General features: G+C 54.0%; 1 protein-coding gene across 11 annotated transcripts in view, besides 1 other annotated feature; it reads left to right on the top strand.

The window, feature by feature from the left end:
* The window catches only part of STK32C (serine/threonine kinase 32C), a 124,754-nt gene that overhangs the window by 39,860 nt on the left and 59,329 nt on the right, over positions 1 to 25,565 (top strand). The window contains exon 1 of one of the 11 annotated variants that reach the window (XM_047425115.1): positions 19,862 to 19,882. The exons of the other annotated variants lie outside the window; for them this stretch is intronic. The gene's annotated coding sequence lies outside the window, so the exon portion shown is untranslated. Of the gene's footprint in view, positions 1 to 19,861; positions 19,883 to 25,565 lie in introns of those variants that run through there. 11 annotated transcript variants of the gene reach the window in all.
* Positions 8,535 to 9,134: an enhancer, noted in NCBI's record as "H3K4me1 hESC enhancer chr10:134096746-134097345 (GRCh37/hg19 assembly coordinates)". NCBI's record gives its function as "activates a minimal SCP1, AML or CMV promoter by ChIP-STARR-seq in naive H9 embryonic stem cells {active_cell/tissue: H9 hESC(naive)}" and the evidence as "EXISTENCE:reporter gene assay evidence [ECO:0000049][PMID:30033119]".

The raw sequence follows: 25,565 nt of genomic DNA, 5'->3' as shown, positions 1-25,565 counted from the left end.
GGTGAGTGTGTGAGCATTGAGTGCCCGGATGGAGAGGCCGAGGCCGATACCCAGGCCCTTGGTGGCAGTGAGGGGACCCTGTCTGGCTGACGCATGGTCCTGGGGGTGCTTGTGAGGGCTGGGCTTGGGCTCCTGGGCTCAGAGTGTGCTGCACTGGCTGTCTACTCCTCGTGGAGGTGCTTATGTTGGCACTGGATGTCCAGGGTGGCAGTCTGCCTCCAATGTCCTTGCTCTTCTTGACTTTAGAGAGTAGCTGAAGTGTTGAGGCCCAGTGCTGACTGGGGTCTGAGGCCAGTCCTGGGAGGTGCTCAGTCCCTGTAGGAGCCTTGGGCCCCTGCAGGGGAAGCCTCCAGGTCTAGAGAGGTCAGTGCAACGGTGGGAAGTGAAGGCTGGGCCGTATGTGGACCTCACTGCAATGCTCTTCTTCCCCGCTCCCCACTGGTGTCTGAGAGGGGAGACACACCACCTCTCGCTGTCAGCATCAGGCTTGCCAGGGCAGGAGGTTAGGAATGGCCATCTTGTGCACACAGGTGGACATGGAGGCCATGTGGTCTGTGTCCTTCAGCTCTGCAGCCTGAGGGTCTTCAGTGCAGGACGGCAGGCAGGTCAGAGCTAGGGTGGGGGGGATGGGGTCTCTGGGACCTGAAGGTTCTCTCTCGAGGCCTGTTTCATGAGCCCCATGGCTCTGCTTGAAGCCTGGCATAGCTCAGCCTCAGCGTTCATACAGGAGTCTGGATGCGTGAAGGATGGTACCTGGTGTGATTCTAAACTCAGACTTGCAGAGGGGCACTCTGGAAGGCTCCAGGCCCAACTCCATTGGGCGGGCTGGCATCTCGTGGGCACAGCCCTTCTTCCCACTAGGTGGCCTGGGCTCTGCAGGTGACCGTGCCTCTAGGCTTTCTTTGGCACAGCTTGACCATGGACTTCTTTCTTCCAAGGCCACGAGGAGGTGTCCACAGGGCTCCTGGGTCCTCAGAAAGCAGAGCCTCATCCTCACAAGGATGACATACATCTCAGATCGAGAACATCCAAGGGGACAGGGTCACCCACAGCCAGTGGAGCCTGTCCTTCCTGTGGACCTGTGTGGCCTGTCCAGGGGCCCAGTGCAGTGGATCGCAGGAAACCTGTGCCAAAATGAACTCACATTCCTTTAATTAAGAAACGGCAATGCTCCAGAGAGCGCAAGCCAGCTCAGCCACCGCCGAGCTAATTGGAAGGTTCAGAAAATTTCCATTAATTACATTTGCCCTCCGGTGGTTTCTTCTCTTCTATGTGCAGTGGCTGTGTTGATTTTGTGTTTTCAACATACAAACAGTGAGGTCCCACAGCCATGAGGGCTGTTATCGAATGCAGGAGAGAGCCGGAAGGGAGGCAGGGGAGAGCCAAGGCAGCGGAAGCCGGTGGAAGACTGGCTGTGCCTCTCCTGCCGTGTTTCCCTTGGGTTGCCCTGGATGTGGCCCTGGGTGTGGTGGGTCTGGATGGGTATCCCTGGACATGGTGGCCCTGGGCTTGGTGGGTCTGGGTGTGGTGGCCCTGGTTGGGTGCCCTCGAGCATGGTAGCCCTGGGCATGATGGCCCTGGATGTGGTGGCCTTGGGTATGATGGCCCTGGATGTGGTGGCCCTGTGAACAGCAGTAGAGCCTTGGGCCCTCAGGGCAGCAATGTCCAGCGCCCCAGGGCTGTGGTCAGGGGGATGCCTCAGGACACAGCATGCTGGACACTGGCTTGGTCTTGGCATCTTCCTGGGTAGTCCTGGGGACCTTAGCTTCTTAGGGGTCTCTTGGAATCCATCCTCATAAACGTCAGAACAGTCAGATGATCTGGCCAAGAGGATCTGGCTTTGAGTTTGGAGATGTCACTCTCCTATGAGCGTGCATGCATACACACATGTGCACAGTAATCGCATCCTCTCTAGGTGCTACCTGCTGCAAGAACACGTTTCTGTCTGTTGCTGAGAAAGCCATGTGGGCAGGGGCCGGGTTATGTTCGCTCTGGACTCCATATGGTCTTGCACATGTAAGTGCTCAATAAATGCTTAGATTTAACTTAACTGGGTAGAAAGAGAAAGTGAATGAGTCAATGTGGAAGGGAGCTGGGCACATGGAGGTTGGGCGTTTTGACCATGAGTGTTGCACAAAGCTGTGTCTCCCTTAGGGAGTGTACTGCGGTGTCCAGCGGGGAGGCATGGCCCAGCCCTGCTCTCCTTTCTGGCTGGGTCCCGGGGTTCTTCTTGGGGTCTATGGTGGAGGCATCTGCTGGCCATAGGGTGGCCGGCTGGTATCTTGGAGACACAGCAGAATCTCTTTGGCAGGTGTGGCCAAATCGGATTGCTGTTGGATGACCATACGGTTTTCAAGAAAATTATGCATCTGAGGTTGGCAAATAATGGGCATTTCCAAACGTGATGTGATAAGTTTTGATATTAGGAACATTTGCATTTTCCTGATGACTGATGATATTCACGACTCTTTCATGTGCTTATTGAACATTGGAGTGGACCGAATGTTTGTGTCCCCACCCACATACATATGTTGAGATCCACCCTCCAGAGTGACAGTATTAGGACCTAGGGCCTTTGGGAGGTACTTAGGTGATAAGGGTGGAACCCTTTTGAAGGGGATTAATGCCTTTATAACAAGGGACCCCAGAGGGCTCTGTCACCACCTTTCTACCCTGTGAGAACATGGAGAGAAGACAGCTGTTTAGGAGCCGAGAAGTGGGCCCTCACCAGACACTGAGTCTTCCGGTGCTTTGATCTTACACTTCCCAGCCTTTACAGCTGTAAGAAATAAATCTCTGTTGTTTGAGGAATCAGGTCTATGGCAATCTGTTATAGTAGCCTGAACTGACTGAGACAGTCATTTGTGTGGCTTACTTTGTGAAGTGTCTGTGCAATTCTTTAGCCCATTTATGTGTGTGTTTTATTAAGTTGTAGGAGTTTAACGATTCTGTATTCAAGTCCTTTGGTGGACAGATGCACTGTGTTTTCTTCCAGTTTATGGCTCAACCATTCATTTTCTCAGCGGTCTCTTTTGATGAGTAGTCTGTGTCTCCTCTAAGAAATCGTTGTCTATCCTAAAGTCAAGTTTAGGTCTAAGATACATTTAAAATTAATTTTTGTGCACAGTGTGAAATGGGGGTAGAGGTTCATTTTTCCATGTGGATATCCATTTACTCCAGCATCATTCATTGAAGAGACTTAGCTTTCCCCATTGGATTACCTTCGTGCTTTTGTCAAAAACCAGTATGTTTGGGTCTATTTTTTTTTATCTTTCTTGTTGCCAGTAACACACTGTCTTGATTATTGTAGCTTTATAGTAAATCTTTAAATGAGATTTTTATGTCCACCAACTTAGTTCATTTCCCAAAATTGTTTCAGCAATTGTGGATCCTCTGTATTTCCATATGAATTTTGAATATAAACTTGTCAATTTATATGTACAGAAGCCTGCCAAGATGTTGATTCAGACTGTGTTAGAAATATAACTCAGTTTTAGGGAGGCTGGACATCTTAATAATAATTAGTTTTTCAATCCATGAACATGGTACATCTCTCCATTTATTGAGGTCTTCTTTAATTTCTCTCAGCATGGGTTGCCATTTTCAGTATACAAGTCTTGTACATCTGTTAAATTTATCCCCAAGTAATTTTTGTTTTATGCTACTGTAACTGGCATTATTTTAGTTGTATTTAAAAATTTTTATTGCTGGTGCATAGGAATATGTTTAATTTTTAATATCAGTTTTATTGAAGTCTAATTTACATAAAATTCACACATTTTAAGGTTGAGATTTAATGAGTTTTGACAAAGGCATACAGTCACCTAACCACTACTGCAATAAAGATGTAGAATATGTCTGTCACCTCAGAAAGCTCGCCCTTGACCCTTTACAGGAAGTCCAGCTCTGGGCTGGAGTTGGCTACACTGGCTCACAGGAGCCAATTCTGCATCTTTGTCTCATTCCTCTTTAGTTCTTAATGGTGGTTTTGGAGAAAGAAGTTTTAAATGTTGATGAAGTTCAGTATATCATCAATTTCTTCCTTTATGGTTTGTTCTTTTTGTGTTCTTTCTAAGAAATCTTCGACCAGCGCTTGATCACAAGGATTTTTTCCTGTGTTTTCTTCTAGAAGTTTTATAGCTGTTAATTTTTGTGTTTCACATGCGGTGAGGGTTGAGGATTTTTTTCCCCTCTTCTTCCCTCCCTCACTCTTCTCCTTTTTATAATCTGGATGTTTTTATGGTCCAGCACTATTTGCTGAAATGACTACCCTTTCCTCATTGTATTACCTTGACACCTTTTTTTTTGGGCTGGGGGAAGAGCTTATAATTGTGGGTTTATTCCTGAACATTATTCTTTTCTGTTGACCTGTATGGCCGTCTTTACCCCAGTTCAACACTATTTATTACTGTAGCTTTATAAGTCTTGGAAGCAAAACCCCAGTTTTGTTCTTTCTCAAAATTATTTTGGCTACTCAGATTATTTGCTCTTTTATCCCAGCTTGTAAATTTCTGCTACTCATTAGTATTATTTGTACTCTTCTGGAGGAGAGACTCATTGGGATTGCACTGAAACTATAGATCAATTCAGGGAGAATGGATCTCTTAAAAATTGAGGATTTTTGGCCAGGCGCAGTGGCTCATGCCTGTAATCCCAGTACTTTGGGAGGCTGAGGCAGGTGGATCACCTGAGGTCAGGAGTTTGAGACCAGCCTGGCCAACATGGTGAAACCCCGTCTCTACTAAAAATCACAAAAATTAGCCGGACATGGTGGTGCACGTCTGTCATCCCAGCTACTTGGGAGGCTGAGGCAGAAGAATCACTTGAACCCGGGAGGTGGAGGTTGCAGTGAGCCGAGATCACGCCACTGCACTCTAGCCTGTTTTGACTGAGTCTCGCTCTGTCGCCCAGGCTGGAGAGTACAGTGGCACGATCTCGGCTCACTGTAGCCTCCACTCCCGGGTTCAAGTGATTCTCTTGCCTCAGCCTCCCAAGTAGGTGGGATTACAGACTCACACCACCACGCTCAGCTAATTTTTGTATTTTTAGTAGAGACGGGGTTTCACCATGTTGGCCAGGCTGGTCTTGAACTCCTGACCTAGTGATCCGCCTCCCTTGGCCTCCCAAAGTGCTGGGATTACAGGTGTGAGCCACCGTGCCTGGCCAAAAATTGATTTTTTAAATCTATGAATCTGTGGCAGTTGGGACATTTTATTTTGGTCGTCTTTAATTTTTCTCAGCACCGTTTCCTAGCTTTCAGTGTGCAAATGTTGCAGATATTTTGTTAAATTTATCCCCACATATTTTATGTTTTTTAAAAAATGAAATCTATTGCTTATATTGTCTTTGTATTCTCCAGCCTTGCTTAAACTCACTCAGAACTTCCATTATCATATTTTTAGATTCTTGAGGGTTTCTCAAATCATTTGCGAATAAAGACAATTTCGCTGCTTTCTTTTAAAACTTTCTGCCTCATTGCACTCTCTGGGATCTCCAGCACAATGAGTAGAAGTGAGAGCAGACATCCTTGCTGTTTTCTGGTCTTAGGGGGAAGCAGTCAACATTTTATTATTTACTGTAATGTTGGCTGAGCCTTGTCATGTGTGCTTTTTATCAGGTAGAGGAAATCTCCTTCTCCTCTTAGTTTGCTGAGTTTTTTATATTTTTAATTATTAACAGTTGTTGAATTTTGTCAAATGCTTTTTCTTCTGTATTTGTGGACGTGATGATTTTTCCTCCTTTATTTTGTTTGTGTAATAAGTTACATTGACTTTTGAATATTATACCAACCTTTCATTTCTAGATTTGTTTTTATGTGTTCCTGAATTCAGTTTTCCAATATTTCATTAATAATTTTTACATCTGTGTTCATTAGGGATATTGGCCTGTGTTTTCTTTCCTGCAGTGTCCTTGTCTGGTTTTGACATCAGGCATGTGCTGGCCTCACAAAATGAGTTGAGCGGTGTTCTCTTCTCAATTTTCTGGAAAAGTTTGTGTAAGGTTGGTGGTGTTTTTCCATTAAATGTTTTCTAACATTCACCAGTGGTGCTGTTTGACCCTGGAGTTTTCTTTGTGTGAAGATTTTAATAATGAGCTCAATTTCTTTAGGAGATAAAGGATTATTCAGATCTTCCATCTCTTTTGTGTTAGTTTTGATAATTTGTGTCTTTCAAGGAATGAGTTTTGTCCATTTCATCTAAGCTGTTGAGTTTGTTGCATGAAGTTGTATTATTTTCCTTTTTTTTTTTTTGAGACAGAGTCTCGCTCCGTCACCCAGGCTGGAGTGCAGTGGCTCAGTCTCGGCTCACTGCGAGCTCCACTTCCCGGGTTCACGCCATTCTCCTGCCTCAGCCTCCCGAGTAGCTGGGATGACAGGCGCCCGCCACCAAGCCTGGCTGATTTTTTGTGCTTTTTTAGTAGAGATGGGATTTCACTGTGTTAGCCAGGATGGTCATCTCCATCTCCTGACCTCATGATCTGCCCGCCTCGGCCTCCCAAAGTGCTGGGCTTACACGCGTGAGCCACCGCGACTGGCCAATATTTTCCTTTTAATGTCTGTAGTGATTCCGCCCTTTTATTCCTCACATTAGTGTTTTGCGTTTTGTTCCTTGTCTATAATAGAGGGGAATGATGCAATCTATCGCTATGTCTGTTGGTTAGTCTGTTCCTTCCTTTCATTTTGTCTATTTTTGCTCCACATATTTTGGGTTGTTGTTGGGTGCATTCACATTTAGGGTTGGTATCTTTCTGATGATTAAACCTTTTAGGAAATGTTCCTCTGCACATTGGTCAAATATCCCTTGTTTGAAATGTGCTTTGATGTAGTCACCTAACTGTATGATCAGTGTTTTCATGATGTATCATTTTCCACCCTTTTCCTTTTTAACCTGTGTCTTTAAATAGGAAGTACATCTTTTACAAATATATAGTGGTGTCTTGCTTTTAAAAATACAGTCTGAAAATATCTGCTCTTTAATTGGAATGTTAGCGTCATTATTGATATGGTTTTCCTTGAGTCTACAGTGTTGCTAATTTTCTCTGTGTTTCCATCTGTTAATTGTTTATCATCAGTCTCCCAGGGTGAGAATATAGACTCCTGAGGGTGGGGACGTTGAGCTCTTTGTGGAGCTCCACAGGCAGGTGTGGGAATGTGTTCTGGGTTCATGCCTGGTCTTTGGGCAGGTGTGGGAATGTGTTCTGGGTTCATGCCTGGTCTTTGGGCAGACGTGGGAATGTGTTCCGGGTTCATGCCTGGTCTTTGGGCAGACGTGGGAATGTGTTCCGGGTTCATGCCTGGTCTTTGGGCAGACGTGGGAATGTGTTCCGGGTTCATGCCTGGTCTTTGGACAGACGTGGGAATGTGTTCCGGGTTCATGCCTGGTCTTTGGGCAGACGTGGGAATGTGTTCCGGGTTCATGCCTGGTCTTTGGGCAGACGTGGGAATGTGTTCTGGGTTCATGCCTGGTCTTTGGACAGACGTGGGAATGTGTTCTGGGTTCATGCCTGGTCTTTGGGCAGATGTGGGAATGTGTTCTGGGTTCATGCCTGGTCTTTGGGCAGACGTGGGAATGTGTTCTGGGTTCATGCCTGGTCTTTGGGCAGACGTGGGAATGTGTTCTGGGTTCATGCCTGGTCTTTGGGCACGTGTGAGAATGTGTTCTGGGTTCATGCCTGGTCTTTGGGCAGATGTGGGAATGTGTTCTGGGTTCATGCCTGGTCTTTGGGCAGATGTGGGAATGTGTTCTGGGTTCATGCCTGGTCTTTGGGCAGGTGGTTCCCAGGGCTGCAGCTCTGTTCGTCTGAGGGGAAAGGCCCATGCAGTCGATGCTACTGGGGGCTCTGTGGGTGTCATGGGTGCTCAGAGTCCCTGTGGAGCCTCATGGGTTGAATCTGCTGCCCTCCCAACCTCACCTGCCCTCCCAACCTCACCTGCCCTCCCAACCTCACCTGCCCCCCCAACCTCACCTGCCCCTGCAACCTCACCTGCCCCCCCAACCTCACCTGCCCCCCCCAACCTCACCTGTTCCCCCCAACCTCACCTGCCCCCCCAACCTCACCTGCCCCCCCAACCTCACCTGCCCCCCCCAACCTCACCTGCCCCTGTTCTCCACCTTGATGCCACCTCCTACTCTGCCCGTTTCCTGCGGGGCTTCCCATGGGGCCCGGCAAGCCGCTGCGGACCCTGCAGACCTCAGGCACGGGTGGATGCGGGGCTTGTGGTCGGCGTCTGCTCTTCACCACCATCCTCCTGTGGTCCACGTGCCCTTTCAGTTGGCCAGCTCTGCTCATGGTTGGTCAGAGGCTGTGGGATGCGCTTAAAAGCCTCAGCAGCAAGTCCTGGAATTTGGAGAGTCTGTGACAGAGAAGGGCACATTCCGTGGCCAGACAGGTTTTGATTCTGTGCCATCTGTGTACTTGCCTCTGACCATCAGGTGGGGGCTGCACCCGTCTTCTCCTTTGGTTCCCCTGGACTTTGGATGGGGCGGGGCTGGACTCAGGGAGGCCTCCTGGGCAGTCTGGGGTGGCTCTTCCCAGCAGAGCGTGGGGAGAAGTGGAGCCACAGCCAGCCATGGGGGCGGAGGAGGAGGCAGCAGCTGTGTTTCTCAGTCTCAGGCGCAGCGGAGTCGGACGTGTATGGCACCACGTGTTCCCTCCTCTTAGTGCTGGGGTCATCTCCATGACAGCCCGCGGCCTCTCCCTCCTCCTCTCTTCAGCTCTGCAGATGCTGGACCCTCAGGTGTTCCCCAAAACCGGGCCCAGACCTGCTGCAACTTGCAGGTCACAAACCACCCCCTTCACTGGCCTTCTGTGCCGAGGAAGATGGGCGGCCTGGAGGGAATCTGCCTTTCTAGAGGCTGGAGCCCTCCCCACTGCCCATCTGTCTGGGAGCCTGGTCCCCATGACACCCTCCTCCCAGTGAGTGCATCCAGGACTCTGCCTCCGCTGGTCGCACGGTGAGGGGGGCGTGGCTGCCGCTGGACCTTCGCAGCCTCGTCTGCGTTCTGCCAACGCCTTCACAGCCTGTTTGCTCCGCTCAGATTTCACAGGGCGGGTTGTGCCATTTTTTCTTGTAACTTACCCGTGTTACAGTCATCCCCAAAGCCACTGATCAGCGTGTTGCTCTGTGCTGAAAACGTTTTGCTGGGGTGTCTTCAGTAGCGCTCACAGAGCTGAGATAGCATAGAGGACTGGCGCAGTCCCTGGGGCCTGGGGCCTCGGCCGGCCTCCCGGCTGGGTCTTGGCCATCGTGGCCCTGAGGTGCACACGCCTCTCCCTGCTCTGTCTGGTCACTGGATTCTTCTCTGCTGCCCCCGGGTTGGCTGCATGGAGTGGGGTCCGCCTTGGTGGACCTTTTGTGGTCAGGACCCCTGGGAATGTGATTGGTGCAGCCTCGGCCTGAGAACGCAGCAGGGCCAGCCTCCCCGACCCCAGCCTCAGAGGGGCTGTGACAGGAAATGACAACACCCCCCACCGCCTCCTGACCAGCAGAGTTGCTGTAGCCTGTGCTGTGTTTTCTCCAGAGAAACCACTTACTTCTTCCCTTCGCTCCAGCAGCTAATAGGGTGCAGCAGTCACTTCTGGCCGGTTCCCCAGAGGAGTGGCTGCTGGTGGCTAAGATGTTTAACTGGTGGCCCCAGCCTACTCAGACAGCTGGGTGATCGGATGCTTTGTGTCGGCTTCCTTAATGGCAAGCTGACTTCGTCGTCGTTGTTATTATTATTTTGTTGTTATTTCTTGTTTCAAGTTGGGGTTTCAGTGTAGTGTTTAGTATGTCACTTCCCCTGGTGAAGCCATGGCTGTGGGTTAAATAAGTGAACTGCAGAAGGACAGGCGCAGGTACAGGTGGGCACAGGCACAGGTGGGCGCAGGCACAGGTGGGCGCAGGCACAGGTGGGCGCAGGTACAGGTGGGCGCAGGCACAGGTGGGTGCAGGTACAGGTGGGCGCAGGCACAGGTGGGTAGCTGACGCCTGGCACTGCCCTCTTCATCAGCCACCAGAAAACTGCAGGAAACCACCCAGGAGCTGTCTCAGAGAGGACTTTATTCCAGTTCCAGCAGCGACTCTGGACGGCCTGGGGAAGCTGGCGCAGCTGGCAGGGCGTGTGGCAGGGATGGGCGCTGTGAGAGCCGGGGTGGGCGGCTGCGAAGCCTCTCGGGCGTGGTGCGGGCTGGTTGGCGCACCTTGGTCCTGCACTGGGCATTTTCAGCACATCCGCTCTTCCCAAGTGTAGCGTGGCTGCTGAGTGTTACACAATGTAGCGCCTCCCCGCCCAGCACCTGTCGCCCCCACCCCCGGAGCGGCTGGGCTGCTGCCTGGCCAGCTGGCGGCTCTGCCTCCAGGCCGGGATCAGGGAGGCGCCTCCCTCTGAATGTCGGCGCTCAGCAGGGACGCTGCTCTGAGAGTGGCAGCGGACAGCATGGGGAGAGTGGCCCCTGTGAACAGGCTCCCGTCTGAGGAGCTCTCTTCCCCCCAGACCCCACCATCCTGGTTGGGCTGAAATAGCCATCGTCAGAGAAGTTGCCCCGCGGCCTCAGCACCATGTCTGATCTCCCACCCGGGCTTCTCCCAAGGTGGAGCAGGTTTCTGTGGGTCCTGGAACCAAAGCAGAGGGGCCTGCAGGTGCCGGGAGGGAATCTGTCTTTTCGTCTCCCGGGGACCTGCACAAACCACCCGACCGGCCCAGGGGGATACTCCCTGTCCGCAACAGTGCTTTCCAACCGGAGCCCTTTTCTGATAGAAGATTTCTGATAGAAGATTTTCAAAGACAGTATTTCTTGAGCTGGGCTTCATGAACATACTCTTTGGGCTATGTGAGAATGTTTTTTTCCTTTAAAAAAAGACAATCATATTAAGCTTGGAATACACTGGTCCAGGCCCACTAAGACGTGAGCTGGCAAAATGGCTTTCTTTTACCCAGCAGGAGCGGGCCCGGTAAGGTACGTTAGGAATAGCTGGGGCACTGTCTGTTTTATGTTGTATTTAACAGGCTTTTGTTTTTTAATAAACAGAGAGGCCCAAAGAAGGAAACAGAAAAGAACCCATAATCTCACACCCAGATAACCCCTATTGCCAACAAAAATAGTTCAAGTAGAAGGTTCAAACACGGACATAGTCTAGAGAAGCAAAAGATGGGGCCTGAAGGTCACTCTGTCTATGCACCTGTGTGTGTGTGTGTGTGTGTGTGTGTGTGTGTGTCCACGAGGATCACGTGTGTGTGTTTAAAGATAGGTCTTGCTCTGTTGTCCAGGATGGAGTGCAGTGGCATGATCATGGAGTGCAGTGCCATGATCACAGAATGTAGTTGCATGATCACAGAGTGCAGGGGTGTGATCACGGAGTGCAGGGACGTGATCACGGAGTGCAGGGGCGTGATCACGGAGTGCAGGGGCGTGATCATGGAATGGAGGCCTCAGCGTAGTCAGGGAGTGCAGTGGCGTGATCATGGAGTGCAGGGGCATGGTCACAGGATGCAGGGGCGTGGTCACGGAGTGCAGGGGCGTGGTCACGGCATGGAGGCCTCAGTGTGATCACGGAGTGCAGGGACATGGTCATGGAGCGCAGGTGGTGTGATCACGGGGTGCAGTGGCGTGATCACAGAGTGGAGGCCTCAGTGATCATGGAATGCAAGGGTGTGATCACCGAGTGCAGGGGTGTGATCAGGGAGTGGAGGTTCATGATCACGGAGTGGAGGTGCGTGATCACGGAGTGGAGTGTGGTGATCATGGAGTGGAGTGTCGTGATCACGGAGTGCAGGGGCGTGGTCACAGAGTGGAGTGGCGTGATCACAGGGTGCAGGGGCGTGGTCACGGGGTGCAGGGGCGTGGTCACGGTGTGGAGGCCTCAGCGTGATCACGGAGTGCAGGGACATGGTCATGGAGCACAGGTGGCATGATCACGGAGTGCAGGGGCGTGATCATGGGGTGCAGTGGCGTGATCACGGAGTGCAGTGGTGTGATCAGGGGGTGGAGGTGCGTGATCACGGGGTGGAGTGTCGTGATCACGGAGTGCAGGGGCATGGTCACGGAGTGGAGGCCTCAGCATAGTCAGGGAGTGCAGTGGCATGATCATGGAGTGCAGGGGCGTGGTCACGGGGTGCAGGGGCGTGGTCACGGGGTGCAGGGGCGTGGTCACGGTGTGGAGGCCTCAGCGTGATCACAGAGTGCAGGGACATGGTCATGGAGCGCAGGTGGCGTGGTCACGGAGTGCAGGGGCGTGATCACAGAGTGCAGGGGCGTGATCACAGAGTGGAGGCCTCAGAGTGATCACGGAATGCAGGGGTGTGATCACCGAGTGCAGGGGCATGATCATGGAGTGCAGTGGTGTGATCAGGGAGTGGAGTGTCCTGATCATGGAGTGCAGGGGCGTGGTCACAGAGTGCAGGGGCGTGGTCACGGGGTGCAGGGGCGTGGTCACGGGGTGCAGGGGCGTGGTCACGGTGTGGAGGCCTCAGCGTGATCACGGAGTGTAGGGGCATGGTCATGGAGCACAGGTGGCGTGATCACAGAGTGCAGGGGCGTGATGATGGGGTGCAGTGGCGTGATCACAGAGTGGAGGCCTCAGAGTGATCATGGAATGCAGGGGTGTGATCACCGAGTACAGGGGCGTGATCACGGAGTGCAGTGGTGTGATCACGGAGTGCAGTGGTGTGATCAGGGAGTGGAGTGTCGTGATCACGGAGTGGAGTGTCGTGATCACGGAGTGCAGTGGCTTGATCATGGAGGAGTGGCATGATCAGGGAGTGGAGTGGCATGATTACAGAGTGCAGGGGCGTGAACATGGAGTGCGGGTGGGCATGATCATGGCTCATTGCAGCCTTGACCTCCTGTGCTCTGGCCATCCCCCTGCCACAGCCCCCCAAAGTGCTGGGATGACAGGTGTGAGCCACTGCACCTGGTCACATGTGTATGTCTTTACACACATGCATGTACTTGTCACGTAGAGTCTGTCATTTACATGAAGAGGAGTGTTGTGTGCAGAGTGTTCTGGACTCCTGCAAAGGCTTTATGTTGTCTCTTTGGGATATGTTCTTATCAGCACGCCGCTCCACCTAGTTTGTAACGTCTGCACGAGAGTCCGTGTTATGGCCGTAACATGGTCATGTCACCTCGCCTGTTATGGACACGGGTAGCCCAGGGCTTTTTGTTCTTACACTTCAGTCGTGAAAGTCACTGCACATCGGTCTTGATGAATTTTTGTGGGCTTGCTGACTGTGGAACTTCACAGTTGCAATCATTACTGTGTTAAACTGGGTGCAGCTGGACTATTGATCACTGTTGCTAATTGCTTCTAGAAGGGCTGGGCCACTTATATGCCCCGTCCCCCGCCCCCTGCATGGTATATGGGCAACTGGCACTGGCTGTATTCAAGACAAAGGGCATCTCCTTGCTATTTTGGCTTGGATTGTTAAATGGGGACTGAGGCAGGGCAGTCTCGGGTCTGACACACTCTTGTACCATGAGTGGCCCTCGTGGCCTCTGCCCCGTCTCCTGTTGGGTTGGTTTTCTCAATAATCTGTATAAGTTCCTTGTAAGAAAAGTAGCCCCTTGTTTGTCATATGTATTGCAAATGCTTTTTCTCAGTTTGTAGTATTTTGAATTTTTTTTTTTTTTTTTTTTTGAGACAGTCTCGCTCTGTCGCCCAGGCTGGAGTGCAGTGGCGCGATCTCGGCTCACTGCAAGCTCCGCCTCCCGGGTTCATGCCATTCTCCCGCCCAGCCTCCTGAGCAGCTGGGAGTACAGGCGCCTGCCACCACGCCCGGCTAATTTTTTCTATTTTTAGTAGAGATGGGGTTTCACCGTGTTAGCCAGGATGGTCTTGATCTCCTGACTTCGTGATCCACCCGCCTCAGCCTCTCAAAGTGCTGGGATTACAGGCGTGAGCCACCGCGCCCGGCCGGTATTTTGATTTTTTAAAAACTGTGTTTATTGTTATCTATGCAGAAGCTTTGCATTTTTGTAGCGTTCTGTGTATCTTCCTGGTCAAGAGCCCTTTCCCTGTAGCTTCTGCAGTCTTTGTCTTCCTTGGAGAGGCCTCTCTTGCTGCAGGATTACAGAGAAATTCACTGGTGAATTTTTGTTTTTAGAACTCACGGAGGCATGGCATGTGCGGGGCATGGCATGTGTGGGTCTTTGCTGGGTTTGTAGTTTCTTCTGTCACTGGACATGAGGTGGGGATCTAGTGTCTCCAGGTCTCTTTCCTGACCCCACAGAGTGATGGTGGAGCTGCTCTGAGAGCCAAGTCAGAGGGCAGAGTCTGCAGAGAGGGGTGTGAGCAATGGGTTCCCAGGGGGTCTTCATGGTAAGGAGTCTATTCCTAAGCTGCCCCCTCAAGACCACCCCCACCTCTCCCTGGAGGGAACTGGGGAGGAACTCCGAAGCCTTGCTTTGCCACTGCTGCCTTCTGCCATCAACAGGATGTTCATGTGATTTTATCGTGATTTGGGAGATGAAGAAAGACCCTCTCCCAGGTGAGCCAGAGTGCAGGCTGGCCCTGCACCGAGACAGCCAATGAAGGAGAGGTCGGGAGGGTGTGTCGGGCCCCGGGTGAGAAGCCAGGTTCCTGCAGCCTGAAGGCAGAGGTTTGGAAAGGAGCATGTGTGCATGTGTGTGTGCACTTGTCTGTGCAAGGGACTCAGAAGAGACACCCTGCTCCCCACAATGCTTTGCCCCGACCAGCTTGGGTCAAGGTCGAATAAAGTCCCCTGCAGGCCTGGGATGTTGCCTGCAGCTGTCCCAAAGGCTGCCGCTGTCCCAAAGGCAGTTGCAAAGCAAGGCTCTGGACTCCTTGCCGATTCCCTGCAGGGCCACGGGCAGGCAGGTGATTGGCCACTGAGCTCTCAGTGAGCTCCAGCTGCCATCCAGCAAGGCGGTGGGCACAGAACTGCAGCCGGGGGCCAGGCTGGCTCTCTGGGTTCCTGAGAAGGAAACTGGTCAGTGGATAGGAAGGGCAGCATGCCATGTTTCTGGATGTTCAGGGCCCTGGTGTGGTCCCAGCCTCCTCAGCCTGGCCACCTCCCCGCACAGGAATGGTGGGCTGGAGCCCAGTTTTGTGGCCGTCTCTGTGCTGCAACTTGGGAAGTCCAGGTGCTGGTGTCCTCCCTGGCTCTCTCTCCAGCGGCTCTCGTGGAGGGCCCTGACTCCCTTCGGCCCGTCTTCGGTGGTTTTGATGGTCCTGGCCAAGACACGCAGCCCAGAATCCACAAACTTGTGCATCCATGGGAAGGCAGACTGCTGGCCCTGCTCGGCTCTTCTGACTCTTATTTTTGGAGACATAAAAGAGAACAGAGTCTTACACTCTGTCTAGAAATAATGCCTTTCCTTACTTCAATTCAGTTGGTCAAAAATAAGCACATCCCTTTCCCAGGGTGATAATCCAATCCTTTGAGCTGGAAGGAGGAATGGAGGAGGGGAGGCTGGGCTGGGGAGGGACAGGAACAGAGGCCGTTCAGTGAGCCCAGATGGGGCGCAGCCACGGCCTCGAGCCCTGGGGAGCCATAGCCTGCATCTGACCTGGACTCTTGGGGACCGTGGGCCACGCTGGGGTAACGGAGGAAACCTTGGGAGAAGATACATTGGGTTTTTTTTTTTTTGAGGCAGGGTCTTGCTCTGTCACCAGGCTGGACTGCAGTGGCACAATCATAGCTCACTGAAGCTTTGAGCTCCTGGGCTCAAGCAATCCTCCCGCCCCAGTCTCCTGAGTAGCTGGGACTATAGGTGTGTGCCATCATGTCCAGCTAATTAAAAACTTTTTTTTTTTCAGAGATGGGGGTCTTGCTGTGTTATCCAGGCTGGTCTCACACTCCTGGCCACAAGCAGTCCTCCCGCCTTGGCTTCCCAAAGTGCTGGGATGACAGGCGTGAGCCGCCGTGCCTCGCCCCTTTTGTGCTCTGAGTGTATCGGGTGGATGCAGATGCTCTGAGTGCCTGTGGTGATGTCCTTCTTGGCATTCACAGGTGCACAGGACCACATTTAGACACCGTGTAGCTGGCACAGGTGCTGACCCTGACCCTGTTCCAGTGCCCAGTGCCAGGAGGTCTGTGGGATGGCTGGTGTCTGTAGGATCACGCGCCTGATGCCAGCCGATCCCAGACTTGGCGTGGTGGCATCTCATCACTCTGCTGAAAGCTCACTTTTCTGCATCTTCCCTTGAAAATGGTTTTTCTGCTGCGGTCATGCTGTTTTCTGTGTTTCGCTGTGGGTCCACCTTCTGATTTGTGTGGACTCGAAAATTGCTGACCGAAAAGCTGGTCCAAAAGCTGGGCCCCAGAATTACCTCCAGGCTCATCTCATGATGAGGGAAGCCTCGCATGTGGGTCTGGCGTCACCGGGTGGCAGCCTGGTGGTGTGGCGGCTTGGGGGTCTTCCATCCTCGCGGGCCTTCACTGTGACCGTTCCGCATGCCAGGGTGGAAGGCAGCCACCACTTGCGGGGTGGGGGGCTGAGGTTTCCTAGGCAGAGGGGGTTTTCCTGTACAGTCTCCTGCCCGACACAGGCCTGGGTGTCTGCTTCTCAGAGATGCCAGGAGGTGGGGAGAAAAGAGGGGCAGGAAGAACATGGAGCTGCTGAGGAGGTTTCCGCTGAAGGCTGTAGTTTCTCTAATGGAAGGGGACGTTTGAAGGGATTTCCCAGGAAGGCAGACCCTGGAGCCTGAGAGAAGGTGGTGTGGGAAGCCCATGGGCCCAGGTCCTCATCCCTGCGGCATGATGCGTCAGTGACGGTGGGTGGCTCTGCACTGCGCTGGCCCCTGGCCACTGGCCCCGTGGCCTGGCTGTGCTGTGACCCTGCATTGCAGTGACACGTCGGCGGAGTGGCCAGAAGGAAGAGCGGGCACTGAGACTCGGAGGTGATTCTGGAGCAAAATCCTAGGATGTCCTGGGCTCTCTTATTGCTTGGATTCCAGGAAAGGGACCTGATTCTCATCCTACGTCCATGGCACGACATCTAGATGTTTCCAAGGCCAGGATGGCTGCCTCCAAGGGCAGGTGGGGCAGATTCATCCCAGACCCCTGGACCTTCCCTCGGCCTCTTGCACCTGCCAGCCTTGCTACTGTTGCTGACTCACCATCTTCCCCGGGGGTCCCAGCACCCACCCCCACCAGCGGCCCTGTGGGGCTGTCTGTGAGTAGCCATGGGGCCTGGTGGGGCAGCACTGCCCAGAGACATGGTGGGCACGGGTACGGGGATGCCGGACCTCCCATGGCTGCTGTCAGGGCTGAGGCCAGACGGGCTGATGGGCCAGATGGCAGCACCAGGGACAGTACCTGCTGCCTGGGCCCCCTGGGTGCTTCCAGGAGGAACTTGGTTCCTCGGCCCTGGGGGACACCGTGAACCACACACTGGGCCTGCTGTGCCATGGTGCTGGGCCCTCAGAAGCTGGGGCTGGCACAGGGTTCTCGGTCCCTGTCCCGGCTGTCACCTTCCATGTTGTCCCCTCTCTGGAGCTGGGGCACCCTCCAGGGAGTGGAAGAACAGGGTGGATTTAAGGCTCTCACTGAAGGAGTCCTGGGAGTGACTCAGCCTTGCCACGTCCCTGGGTGAGGAGGCGCCTGCTGGCTGCCTGTGCGGCGGAGCGACAGGTGACTTGGGGGTGGAGGTGGCCGACTGCCGAGGAGGCTTTGGACTCGGGGACATCTCGGGGCCCTCCGAGGCCTGGTTCCCGTGGATTTTGAGGTTTGCGCTCAGCCGGGTTTATTCTGCAGACAGGCCCACGCCTGAGGGACCAGTGCAGCCTGAGGATCCGGCGTCCGTGGCTCCTGGTGGGCTGAGGGCAGGGGAGGCTCTGCGGCCAGGCCCTGTTAGATTCCCAAGCCTCAGGTGAATGTCAGCGGGCGGTGCAGCCTCCACAGCCTGGTACGAGGTTTTGTCACTGCACATTTCCTGCAAAACAACTGTGAACAGTTGTCAATCTTCATATATTGACCTCCCATCAAACACATACGAAAATTTCTCTGTGAAGAAGTGTCCAAAATAAAACCGTGCACTTACCATGAGATAGGATTTAAAACAGCCGCCTTTCCCTAGCAATGGTGTGTTGCTTCTGTTGACCCACATTTGGTGTGGGATGGGCATTTGATTCAGACGCCACATTACCCTCGTGTGAGTCCTGAATCCGGGCGCAGCTGTTGGCTGCTCCCCAGGCCCTAGGACAGGAGGAGCCAGCCTCTCCGCTGAGTCCCAGTGTGGCCACACCCAGCGTGGATGGTGCTTGCTGTCTGGTCCCGTCCTGAGCAATGACCCCGCAGGCATCTGCAGACTGATGCATTCTCCTTGTAGGTTGCATTTCCAGCCCCAACCCCTGCACCTCAGCTTGCTTCACCTCGCAAATGTTTAAGTCGATGTGCACCTCCCACAACTTGCGGATCTTATGGAAAAAGAGAGCAGAGCCCAGGGTCACACCAGGAATCAGCTGAGAAGTCAGAAGCGCAGTTGGCAGCCCAGGCCCAGTCAGTATGGGGCTGGGGTCAGCACACGCATAGTGGGCTCTTATGATCTTTCACTTAGATCCACTCTCATTCATTCACTCACTGTGCGTTCATTCACTCATTCACTCATCTCTCATTTGCTCACCTCATTCACTCACCATGCATTCATTCACTTACCATGTGTTCATTCACTCACTGCATTCATTCACTGTGCATTCATTCACTCACCGTGTGTTCATTCTCATCTACTCGTTCATTTACTCATTCATCTCATTTACTCATTTGCTAACTCCACTCATTTGTTAACTCCTTCACTCATTCAGTAACTCCACTCATTCAGTAACTCCTTCACTCATTCAGTAACCATGTATTCATTCACTCACCATGTGTTCATTCGCTCATTCATCTCATTTACTCATTTGCTAACTCCCCATTCACTAACTCATTATCATTAACCGTGCATTCGTTCACTCACTCACCATTCACTCACTGTGTTTTCATTCACTCATCTACTGATTCATTCACTCATTCATTCACTCAACAGGGCTTTGTTGAGAACAGATCTGGAGGAGGTACTGCAGTGATATCTCCCTGAGCCCCACAGACACCTGCAGTTGCCCCACCCTAGAGCTGCAGGGACTTAGAGCCCGTTCACAGGACCTTTAGGGCTGAGCAGCTTCCTTTCTTGACTGGGGGCTGCCCTCTTGGTGGGGTCGCTTAGTGAGCACAGAAAGCTCTATCAGATGCCCCGTCAGCCTATTCAAAGCAGTGGAAAGGCTGAGTGGATTGGAACTGATTTGTGTGAAGCTAAGTAAATGTATAGGATGTTAACAAACAAATACTGTTGAGGGGGGCAGCAAGGAAAAAAATGATGTGGGCAATTGCAGTCTTCATTGGGGTGAAATCTTGGTGAAAACGACACACTAAATAGGGATATGGTGAGCCCAGGGTGCAAAGCGTGCGGCTCTGGGGAAGAGGGCTCCGGGCAGAGGGAGCTGTTGGTGCACAGGCCGCATGGTGGGCTCACTGGGCTGCTTCAGAGAGCGCAGCAGAGTCAGGCACAGGGAGGGTGGAGGAGCCGAGGCCAGAGGGGTCTGGGGCTGGGTCCTGGACGGCTTGCTGGCAGCCGGAAGGACATGGGCTATTACTTGAGAGAAATGGGAGTGTGGAGCCTTTGAGCAGAGCGGGGCTTGACATGTTTGTTTCAAAAGGACGACGCCTGCAGCTTTGTTGAGAATAGATTCTAGGGCGAGGGTGGAGGCGGGGAGACCAGGCTGTTGCAGGAATCCAGGCGGGAGTGGACGGTGGCCAGAAGCAGAGGAGGGGCAAGATGCGGTCGGAGTCTGGGAACGCTTGAAGGAAGAGCCTGCAGGATTTCCCGACAGACGGGCTGGGGTGTGAGACAGAGAGGAGTCGAGCCCATGCCAAGGCTTCAGGCCGAGCATCCGGATGAGCTGTTGGTAACTGGGGCTGTGGCAGTGTGAGCTAGGGAGCTGGGTTGAGGGCACGTTAGATTTGGGTTGTGGGTTTCAGACATTGTATTCATTTGCTCGGGTTGTTCGTGGGTGGCGTAAACAACAGCCGCTTGCACTCTCACAGATCCGGAGGCTGGAAGTCCGAGACCACGCGCCGGCAGGGTTGGCTGCCTCTGAGGCCTGGCTCCTTGGCTCGTGGGCAGCGTCCTCACGTGGCCATTCCTCTGTGGGTGTCTCCGTCCTGATCTTTTCTGTGAGGACACGGTCCAGTGGGATTGGGCCCACCCACGTGACCTTGCTTCACCTTAACCAACTCTTTGAAGATCTCATCTCCACACACAGCCACGCTCGGAGGCACGAGGGGTCAGGGCCTCAGCTTAGGACTTCGGGGGCACAGCACAGCCCACGACACACCTACCCTGCCGGGGCTTGCAGGCACACCTGGTCTGTCCTTTCCCCATTTCAGCTGAGCTGGAGAGAAGCTAGACATGCATTCAGGGTAGGGGCCTTGCCCCGCCAGCACACACACAAACATGAGGAGGTCCGGGCGTCCGGGCACTGAGCAGTGGTGTTGTCACTGAGGCAGCCCCAGTGCTGCCTGGGAAGGGGCAGGGCCGTGGCTCTGAGCACAGTGTGCCCAGGAGGCCGCAGGAGTCTCTGGAAAACTCAGACTCCAGATCCCCACCCACACCTGGAAATTTTGTTCTGTAGGTGTGGGGTGTCGGGGAGGGCGCGAGTCTGGGGTCAGGAACGGGTGATCCCAGGTCACTCCGATGTGTGCTTTGGCCACCTTAGGGAAACACCACCGTGGTTTTTCAGTGGTGGGGGCTGGATCCGTGGTTGCAGGTCTTACCAGCTCTCCCAGCCGGACATGACCGTGTCATGCTGACGCCACGGCCACCTTCTTCCCACCCTGAGTGCTGTGTGTGGGGTCAGATTTGGCCACAATGGACGGGACAACATCTTTCTGTGTGAGGCCAGGTGTGGGGCCAGCCTCAGGTGCCCAGTGAGGCAGGGCGTGGGCACAGCACGGGCCCACACTGTTGGGACAAGGAGCTGGGGGCTCTGGGAACGTGGCCTCTGTTCTGACCCTCCATGCTATTCTTGCAGCTCTCTGCCTGGGTCTCTTGCCAGGTGTGCTGGTTTTTTCCTGAGTGCCAGGGGCCTGGGAACCGTTGCTGTAGGGCTGCCTGCTTTACAGATGGGGTGTATGGGCCACTGCCACGTGGAGGCCGAAGCTGGCTGGAAGTGCCTGAGCCCAGGGACACTCTTCTGGATGCCACAGTCCCCAGCCATGGGTCAGGGGTGCCGGCTGCTGAATGGAAGGCCCCGGTTAGGACACTCCTCACCCCCTGTATTTCTATCTGATAATGGAGCCCTAGTCATTTGCGTCTTTGAGTCACTTTGGGGGTGCCACCCTCCTTGCACCCCATCTGACTGTGGTTCAGAACCCCCTTGGTCTCACCCCTGGCTCCTCCCTTAGGACAGATCACCCCCTCTGATTGGTGGGAGGTGAGGCCCCACCCCATTGCCCTACCCTTATTGGCTGTTGCTCTGGAGGGGGGCTGCATCCTTCTGGTCCTGCTTCTGCCCTGGGCCACAGGTGGGTCCTCACCAGGTGTGTTGATGGATGCTTCCAGGATGGGAAGAAGCCCTGGGCCACTCCGCAGCCTCACCGTGGCCAGGATGGAGCTCTGAGTCCAGGGTGATGTGCAGGGCTCGCTGTGGTTCTCTTTGGGCTGCCTGTGGGTTCTCTGCTGGTTACAGACGCAGAGGGAGGGAGGGGTGTCTGGTTGGTACCCCCAGGCCATTCTGCAAGGCAGCACTAGCAAATAAGGCCATGGGTTCATATCCGGCAGGCCGGGGAGCAGGCGTGGGACTCCAAGGGAAGAGGCCATGCTGGGTCCTGGGGTTGCCGTAACTCACGGCCATACCCTGCGGTTCCCACAGTGCACATTCACTCTCAGTTCCAGAGGCTGGCAGGGCCACCTGCCCTCCAGAAGTGCCGTGGAGGGTTTGCTCTCGCCAATTCCAGCTTCCAGAGGTCACTCCCCTGCAGCCATGGCTCATGACCCCTGCATCTGCAAGGCCAGCGGCGTGGGCCCGTGCTTCACTTGTGGTATCACCTTCCCTGGTAGCAGTGTCTCCCTGCAAGGATGGCTGTGAGCAGTTAGGGCCCACCTGGATAATTCAGGAGTCCCACCCTCTCAAGATTGTTCACTCAGTCACATCTGCCAAATCCTTTTTGCCACATAAGGTGAATCACAGGTCCGGGGACTGGGGCCTGGACATCCCTGGAGCCATTGTTCAGCCACCCACAGGCTGTGTGGGGTGGGGTGGGCTCTCTCGGCCTCCTCCTCACGTGGGTGCTGCCCTTGGTCCCCTGCTGCCCTCAGTCCCCTGCCACAGGTTGAGGGGACGCTGTCCCAAGGCCTACAGCAGTACCAGGCATCAGCTTGTAAACTCTGCAGGGTTCTCAAGAGACCATGAAAGCAGTCAGGGGAGGGCTCAGGTCGTCAGGCGTGGAGGACAGGGGGCCTGGCTCAGGCATCCGGGGCCCACGTGGCTGGGAGGCCACCATTGGGTGGGTGTCAGCTATTATGGCCGTGGCAGGCTAGGGACTCTCACTGAACGCCTCCTCCCAACACCAACCTCTCAGGCTTGGGAGAACTGCCCCCACTGTGCCGCTGGAGTCAGCGCTCCCACAGGCATTCGGGGGAGGCCAGGGCTGAAGGGGACCCCAGGGCCCACCTCCACCTTTTGCAAGGCGAGGCAAGGGTCTGGAATGCTCCCAGGTGGATGTGGTTGGGCGACAGCCTGGGGTCTGTCTCATAAGCTCAGGTTTGGAAAATAAGACCATCCACTAGCTGTTAGCCCCGAGCAGCCTTCCTGCCCTTGGGGAAAATCAATCCATCAGCAGCCAGCCCAGAGGCGCTGGCTCTTAGCAGAGCAGTGATGGTGATAAATGGCTGTGAGGCTGCAGCTTGCTGCCACACACTTTCCCCAGGTCCTCCTGCAGCAGCCAGCAGGGCTGGGAGGCAGCCCTGAGCTCAGGGGAAGATCCGGTGCGGCCAGTGGAATCCAGGCTGCATCTCAGTCCTGCAGCTCAGCAGCAGATTTTCCAGGCTCCAGGCACCATGTGTCGGTCAGATGAGGCCAGGCACGTAATCAGCTCACTTGAAGAGACCCTGTGCAGCACCCTGTGCATACCACCGTGTGCACACACATGCACGGAGACACAGACACATGCACAGAGCTGCACCCACAGGCACATGCATGCACACACAGACACACACACGATGTGACACATGCACACACGATGCAACGTGAACCAACAGACACGTGCATGTACACACGCAGGCACACACACACACGATGTGACGCACGCAGGCACAGCTGCACCTGCATACACATGCATGCACACACCGACACACACACACGATGTGGGACATGCGTGCACACAGGCATAGAGCTGAACCTGCATACACAGGCATGCACACACACCGACACACACACACACACGATGTGAGACATGCATGCACACAGGCATAGAGCTGAACCTGCATGCACATGCATGCACACACACCGACACACATACACACGATGTGGGACATGCATGCACACAGGCATAGAGCTGCACCTGCATACACATGCATGCACACACACCGACACACACACACACGATGTGGGACATGGATGCACACAGACAGGCATAGAGCTGAACCTGCATACACAGGCATGCACACACACTGACACACACACACACGATGTGAGACATGCATGCGCACAGACAGGCATAGAGCTGAACCTGCATACACATGCATGCACACACACCGACACACACACACACAATGTGGGACATGCATGCACACAGGCATAGAGCTGAACCTGCATACACATGCATGTACACACGCAGGCACACACACACACACACACACAATGTGACGCATGCACACAGGCACAGCTGCACCTGCATACACAGGCATGCACACACACCGACACACACACACGATGTGGGACATGCATGCACACAGGCATAGAGCTGCACCTGCATACACATGCATGCACACACACTGACACACACACGATGTGGGACATGCATGCACACAGACAGGCATAGAGCTGAACCCGCATACACATGCATGCACACACACCGACACACATACACAATGTGAGAGACATGCATGCACACAGGCATAGAGCTGAACCTGCATACACATGCATGCACACACACCGACACACACACACACACACGATGTGGGACATGCATGCACACAGGCATAGAGCTGAACCTGCATACACATGCATGCACACACACCGACACACACACACACAATGTGACGCATGCACGCAGGCACAGCTGCACCTGCATACACAGGCATGCACACACACCGACACACACACACACGACGTGGGACATGTGGGCACACAGACAGGCATAGAGCCGAACATGCATACACATGCATGCACACACACCGACACACACACACACACACGATGTGGGACATGCATGCACACAGACAGGCATAGAGCTGAACCTGCATGCATATGCATGCACACGCACTGACACACACACACACGATGTGGGACATGCATGCACACAGACAGGCATAGAGCTGAACCTGCATACACATGCATGCACACGCACTGACACACACACACACGATGTGGGACATGCATGCACACAGGCATAGAGCTGAACCTGCATGCACATGCATGCACACGCACCGACACACACACACACGATGTGGGACATGCATGCACATAGACATAGAGCTGAACCTGCATGCACATGCATGCACACACACCGACACACACACACATGATGTGGGACATGCATGCACACAGACAGGCATAGAGCTGAACATGCATACACATGCATGCACATGCACTGACACACACACGATGTGGGACTTGCATGCACACAGGCATAGAGCTGAACATGCATGCACACACACTGACACACACACGATGTGGGACATGCATGCACACAGACAGGCATAGAGCTGAACCCACATACACATGCATGCACACGCACTGACACACATGCACAGAACTGTAGCCCCAGAAACATACATGCACATGCATACAGACACACATGCACATTCACATGTGCAGAGCTACACCCACAGGCACACGCACACATAGGTGTGATCTGAGGTGTATTCCAGGCCTCCAGAATACAAGTGAATGCTGGGCTGTGCAGACTTCTCGCATTTTGGCCAGGTTTCAAGGGACCCCAAAAGGAGACCTGCACCCCACACTGGGCTTGCTGCTTCTAAAGGGGCTGCTACTGCAGCTGGCTCACTGCCTGGACTGAGCCCAGGGCCCACGTGTCACAGGTCAGAGAAACCATGCGGGGAGCAGGGCCGGGGAAGCCTGAGGACAGGCTGGAAGGGGCTGCTCCGGCTTCTGACCCAGCTTTGGGTCTCCCCACTGCAGCGGGGTGGGCGGGGGCTGCCCGCTCAGTGACGGCCGAGCTCCCAACACTCACGGTGGTTGTTGGGGTTGGAGCTGCAGTTCCTCTGCGGCCTCGTCCGCGCAGCCCTCCCCACCCCCAGTGTCCATTGTCACTCCATGCCTCAAGGCTGGCTGAGAAGTCCTGTTGTTCTGACCTCGAGCTGCCCCCAGGTCCTGCTTGTGTGATGCTCTCCTTGGAGTCCCCCCG

This window comes from Homo sapiens, chromosome 10 (genome assembly GCF_000001405.40).
Source record: "Homo sapiens chromosome 10, GRCh38.p14 Primary Assembly".
In the NCBI taxonomy this organism is placed as follows: Eukaryota; Metazoa; Chordata; class Mammalia; order Primates; family Hominidae; genus Homo; species Homo sapiens.
This window is presented reverse-complemented; position numbering and strand designations above follow the sequence as displayed.